Here is a 6,133-nt window from a genome sequence, read left to right on the forward strand (position 1 = left end):
TCATTTCACGCCAAGTTCTCTGTTCTCTTACTGTCCTGATACAAGTCTAGCTCCCCACGGCCCCTTCATTTCCACCAGCCTTGCAGCCCCTTCTCCTTCCTGAGGGCCCCATATCAGTGTATGATGAGGGGCCTTGAATGCATGCCGAGAAAGGAAGCTTCTGAGCTGGGGGTCAACTCTGAGAATGTGATGTGGCCTTTCACCCAGCCAGGACCTCTCCTGGGCTAAGCTGTCAGCACCAGGGAGTCCACGTACAGCTGATGCCTCCCTGCGGTGGGGGAACAGAAAGGATGGGGCAGCTCCCCAGAAGGCCTTGGGATTTCTTAGCAGAGATAGGAACTCCCATTCACACTCTGCCAGGGGTCAGCAGCAGTTCTAGAGCTTACCACGTGCTCCCAGGAAATCATACATGTTTCTAAAATCATCCATGTATCTTTTTTTTGTCACCTACATTTTTTATTTATTTATTTATTTTTATTTATTTATTTATTTATTTATTTATTTTATTGATCATTCTTGGGTGTTTCTCGCAGAGGGGGATTTGGCAGGGTCATAGGACAATAGTGGAGGGAAGGTCAGCAGATAAACAAGTGAACAAAGGTCTCTGGTTTTCCTAGGCAGAGGACCCTGCGGCCTTCCGCAGTGTTTGTGTCCCTGGGTACTTGAGATTAGGGAGTGGTGATGACTCTTAACGAGCATGCTGCCTTCAAGCATCTGTTTAACAAAGCACATCTTGCACCGCCCTTAATCCATGTAACCCTGAGTGGACACAGCACATGTTTCAGAGAGCACAGGGTTGGGGGTAAGGTCACAGATCAACAGGATCCCAAGGCAGAAGAATTTTTCTTAGTACCGAACAAAATGAAAAGTCTCCCATGTCTACTTCTTTCTACACAGACACGGCAACCATCCGATTTCTCAATCTTTTCCCCACCTTTCCCCCCTTTCTATTCCACAAAACCGCCATTGTCATCATGGCCCGTTCTCAATGAGCTGTTGGGTACACCTCCCAGATGGGGTGGTGGCCGGGCAGAGGGGCTCCTCACTTCCCAGTAGGGGCGGCCGGGCAGAGGCGCCCCTCACCTCCTGGACGGGGCGGCTGGCCGGGCGGGGGGCTGACCCCCCCACCTCCCTCCCGGACGGGGCGGCTGGCTGGGCAGAGGGGCTCCTCACTTCCCAGTAGGGGCGGCTGGGCAGAGGCGCCCCTCACCTCCCAGACGGGGCGGCTGGCCGGGCAGGGGGCTGGCCCCCCACCTCCCTCCTAGACGGGGCGGCTGGCAGGGCAGAGGGGCTCCTCACTTCCCAGTAGGGGCGGCCGGGCAGAGGCGCCCCTCACCTCCCGGACGAGGCGGCTGGCCGGGCGGGGGGCTGACCCCCCCACCTCCCTCCCGGACGGGGTGGCTGCCGGGCGGAGACGCTCCTCACTTCCCAGAGGGGGTGGCTGCCGGGCGGAGGGGCTCCTCACTTCTCAGACGGGGCAGTTGCCAGGCGGAGGGTCTCCTCACTTCTCAGACGGGGCGGCTGGGCAGAGACACTCCTCACCTCCCAGACGGGGTCGCGGCCGGGCAGAGGCGCTCCTCACATCCCAGATGGGGTGGCGGGGCAGAGGCGCTCCCCACATCTCAGAGGATGGGAGGCCGGGCAGAGACGCTTCTCACTTCCTAGATGGGATGGCAGTGGGGAAGAGGCGCTCCTCACTTCCTAGATGGGATGGCGGCCGGGCAGAGACGCTCCTCACTTTCCAGACTGGGCAGCCAGGCAGAGGGGCTCCTCACGTCCCAGACGATGGGCGGCCAGGCAGAGACACTCCTCACTTCCCAGACAGGGTGGCGGCTGGGCAGAGGCTGCACTCGGCACTTTGGGGGGCCAAGGCAGGCGGCTGGGTGGTGGAGGTTGTAGCGAGCCGAGATCACGCCACTGCACTCCAGCCTGGGCACCATTGAGCACTGAGTGAACCAGACTCTGTCTGCAATCCCAGCACCTCGGGAGGCCGAGGCTGGCGGATCACTCGCGGTTAGGAGCTGGAGACCAGCCCGGCCAACACAGCGAAATCCCGTCTCCACCAAAAAAATACGAAAACCAGTCAGGCGTGGCGGCGCGCGCCTGCAATCGCAGGCACTTGGCAGGCTGAGGCAGGAGAATCAGGCAGGGAGGTTGCAGTGAGCCGAGATGGCAGCAGTACAGTCCAGCTTTGGCTCGGCATCAGAGGGAGACCGTGGAAAGAGAGGGAGAGGGAGACCGTGGGGAGAGGGAGAGGGAGAGGGAGGGGGAGGGGGAGAGGGAGAGGGAGAGGGACTCACCTACATTTTTTAAGGACCCAATTCCAATTTCCTGCCCTTATCATCTCTCCTTCTCATTGATATTTTTCCAGTAGATGTAGCTTTACTCATTACCAACTACTGCCAATTCACTTAAGCTTTCACCTTTAATGTTTTAAAATAACAAGGGAATTCAGAAGTATAGAATGTGGAAGTCTGCCTTCATCATCCTCACAGGCCTGTGCTCCTCAATCCCATTTCCATGAGTTAAGGACTTTTAGCAACTATTAACAGCATGTCCTTCCCAGTTCTTGCCTACACATTTCAAAACACCTATCTCTCTCATCACTCAAACTGGGGGAGCAGGATCATGAGCAGCCCTGTGGAGAGGCCCAAGTGGAGGGGAATTGAAGACTCTGGCCAGCCACCATGTGAGTGTTTGGAAGCAGGTCCTCCAGCCTCAGCTGGAGTTTCTCACGGCAACCTTTTGAGAAACTGAGTCAGGACTGCTCTGAAGCATTCGTTACCCTCAGAAACTATGAGATAATAAATTTAAGCTGCTAAGTTTGGGAGGTTCTGTGTTACATAGCAATATAATACAACTTTCATTTCTCTCCAATGACCGTGTTAGTTTTTAGCCCCTCTGTAGCAAAGCCCCTCAAAAGAGCTGTCTGTACACAGCGTCTCCCTTTCCACCCTGTTTTCTCCCACCCAATCCCATCTGTTCTAATATACATTCACTGAGGTCTGCTCCCTGTGAGACTAGGATGTGTAGTTAAAATGTCCTCATGTTCCCTGTTGCAGACCCTGAGATGAGGATTCTTATGCAAGCAATTTGTTGTGGAAGTGCTCCCGAGAGAAACAGGGCAAGGAAGCAGGGAAGCAGGACAGGGAAGGGGAGGAAGTCAGGTAAGGGTGAAATTTCAGGCAAAGTCCAGGTCTCAGAATGATCTTGATGGCTCTGGAGAAAAGGACACTTTACAGCTATCTGCATCCTGCTGGTGGGGCAGAGACTCAGCTACTCCCCACAAGCCTGGACTCCAAGCCACTGCTGCCTACTCTCACCCCAGGCCCCGGGAGCTTTAACCCACAGCCCTCAGTTCAGGTGGCATTAAAGTGAGCCCTTCCTAGGAGTACTGTTGTCCCTTCCTGAAGTGAGGCTCTGTCTGGGGCTGCCCCGGTCCATAAGACATATTTTTCTGTACTCAAGGGGACAAGAATGATAACTGTGCTTGTCCCATAGCAATGTGTGGTGCAAACTACACTAAAGGCTAGATACTAAAGGCTCAGCTTAATTCTACTGTCAGCAGCTCTCAGGCCCACCCCTGTGGAAATAGACATTGGAGGGAGTGTGTTACCTGACACGGATCAGCATGGCACCCTCAGCTTACTAACACAGAAATGGATGGGTAGGCTTGAAGAGAAGGGGAAGGGTGTGGTTAGCGCCTTTTCCCGCAGTCTGTGGGAAGCCAGCTGCCACCCAGCCAGCATGTCTTATGACTTATTTTAGTTTTCAGAACTGCCCTTAGACGATTGAAGCATGAACATCTTTTCCTGTAAAAATGGATTATTCTACTTCCTTGCTTTAGTCTGGGACTCTGCTCTTGTGGTCTGGTGAGACTTTTGTACATGTGGGGCCTGAGAACACTTTTGGTAGAGCTGTCTCTGCTGAGGTCTTCAGAAGGACCTTTGGGCAGCCTCATGTCTGTCTTGGGCTGCCAGGACAGAAATGCCCAGGTGGCTTCTGGAAGGCCTTGTGGCCAGAGTGAACATTCAAGCTGTTCACTCATCCTCAGCCCAGGCCGCGCACTGTGCTCCTCCCAGAGCTCTGACATTCGTTCACTATGGAAAAGGTGTGATGTAGAAATACAATATTTGTTATTTATGACCCCTCATTGCTTTCTAAAGAAAATGAAGTCCCAGGACTATTTGTTGAAAGTCATGGAAGGGAGAATACAAAATTGGAAGCAAGGTGGGGAAGAGTTAAATTGTTCTGCAGAAGGAGAGGGAAATATATGGGGAGGGGTGGGAAGTAGAGGCTGAAGCTTCCTGGAGGAGGATCAACTGGGAGGGGAATGCGCATGGCTGGGGAGAAACTTTGTAGGGAGAGTTACACAAAAATTTAGAGTTTGCTGTGTGCTATGCGATGTGATCCTTTACTACATCTCTCCTGTTGACACTTCAGAACACTATCAGTTTCTTACTCGAATGCATTGTGGACTGGGTTTTCTTTGAAGGAACGAAGAGGAATGCTGAGTCTTGCTTCGAGGTTGGTGAGGTGTGGATCAGAGGCTCCCAGTGGAAGCTGCCAGGCCTAGGTTCAGGGTTACATGGAGCACTAGGTACCTGTATGCTATGCTCTCCAGCCTGGCCATTCCCTTCTTTAAGGAAAAGAACATTTCAGGTAGAGGGCACGACCAGAGAAAAAGGTAAGTTTGGAGAGGGAGAGAGAAACCAGAGTGGGTGGGGAATGTATGTGAGTCTGTTGGGAAATGGGGTGAGGAACAGAGGCAGAAGGTGGTGCTAATAGGTGAATTAGTCCATCCAGGCTGCTGTAACAAAGCACCATACACTGAGTGGCTTATAAACAACAGAAATTTATTTCTTATGGTTCTGGAGTCTGGGAGTCCAAGGTCAGGGTACCAGCATGGTTGGTGGCTGAATTCCTACAGTGGGCCCACTTCTGGTTGCAGACTACTGACTTCTAATTGTAGTCTCATACTGTGGAGAGCAGAGAGAAGCAAGCTCTCTCGGGGTTCTTATAAGGGCACTAGTCCCATTCTTGAGAGCTCCACCGTCTTGAAGTCACCTAATCCTAATTATCTCTCAAAGGCCCCACCTCCAAATACTATGACACTGGGGGGTAGGGTTTCAACACATGAATTTTGTGGGGACACAAACATCCCGCTCATAACAGTAGGTTAGGACTCCAGGTAGGGCCTTGCTTATCTTCCACATCAGAGGTCCTCTCAGCTGTCCTACCACTCAAAATCTTAGGGTAATCCAAATACACCTCAATGCACCATGTGGCCCAGGCTTGATTCAGTATTGCATTCAAAGCAACACAATTCACCTTCACTGTGCAATTCATATTGTCTCTTATAATCCATTAGCGTCTTCCAAATGGAACCCTCAGTTCTATGGGTAAGAAGGCTCCCACCTGCAGGGGCAACCACCACCTTAGGAACTGGGCATGGCACTGGGCAATCCTAGGCTGCTCTGGATGGTTCATAAGGCATACCCCAGTGGCAGATGGACTGGCACTGGGGAAAGTGGTGTCCTGTTGGCTGCAGGGAGGCATTTCGGACAACCCACTGCCTCTCTGTACGTTCTTGCTAAGGTCCCCAAAGAACTTCCTGGCAAAGACATTTTAGACCTTTTAACTACTTGGCAAGTGGCTTACGAGTCCTTCTAAATACAGCAGATTAGTCAATGGAAATACAAAACTTTAGAAGAAATTCACGGAAAGAGCTATTGAATTGGGGAGGTTTTGCCGGAGTAGGTATTTTCTCTATGGAATTCTGATCTGTTCATTTAGTAATCCTAATTATGGTTTTGCTAATTTGGAGGTAATTTCAGAGAAAGGGTTTTATTCCACTGGGAACTGTCAATAGGTTAAGAGGATTTTGCTTTTTCATTTGTAATGTTTCAAAGGAATGTCATTCTTGCAACAGCTTCAACTATTTTTTGCTTATGTCTGCCACCTTGCTGCTCAAGGTTGACAAGAAAATACCTCTGCTTGTTAGCTCCCATGGCTGGTTTCTTTTATACCAGCTGTGATCTCTCTACCAGCTCTCCTAGGGACCAGCAGAAGATATGTGCAAAGGTGAATGTACTGCATTTTCCAGGAGTTTCCATTCTCTTCATTATCTTCA

At 51.5% G+C, this 6,133-nt stretch overlaps 1 annotated feature.

Moving 5' to 3' along the window:
* Positions 1,346–2,242: an enhancer, noted in NCBI's record as "H3K27ac-H3K4me1 hESC enhancer chr15:73099527-73100423 (GRCh37/hg19 assembly coordinates)". NCBI's record gives its function as "activates a minimal SCP1, AML or CMV promoter by ChIP-STARR-seq in naive H9 embryonic stem cells {active_cell/tissue: H9 hESC(naive)}" and the evidence as "EXISTENCE:reporter gene assay evidence [ECO:0000049][PMID:30033119]".

This window comes from Homo sapiens, chromosome 15 (assembly GCF_000001405.40).
Source record: "Homo sapiens chromosome 15, GRCh38.p14 Primary Assembly".
Taxonomy (NCBI): Eukaryota; Metazoa; Chordata; class Mammalia; order Primates; family Hominidae; genus Homo; species Homo sapiens.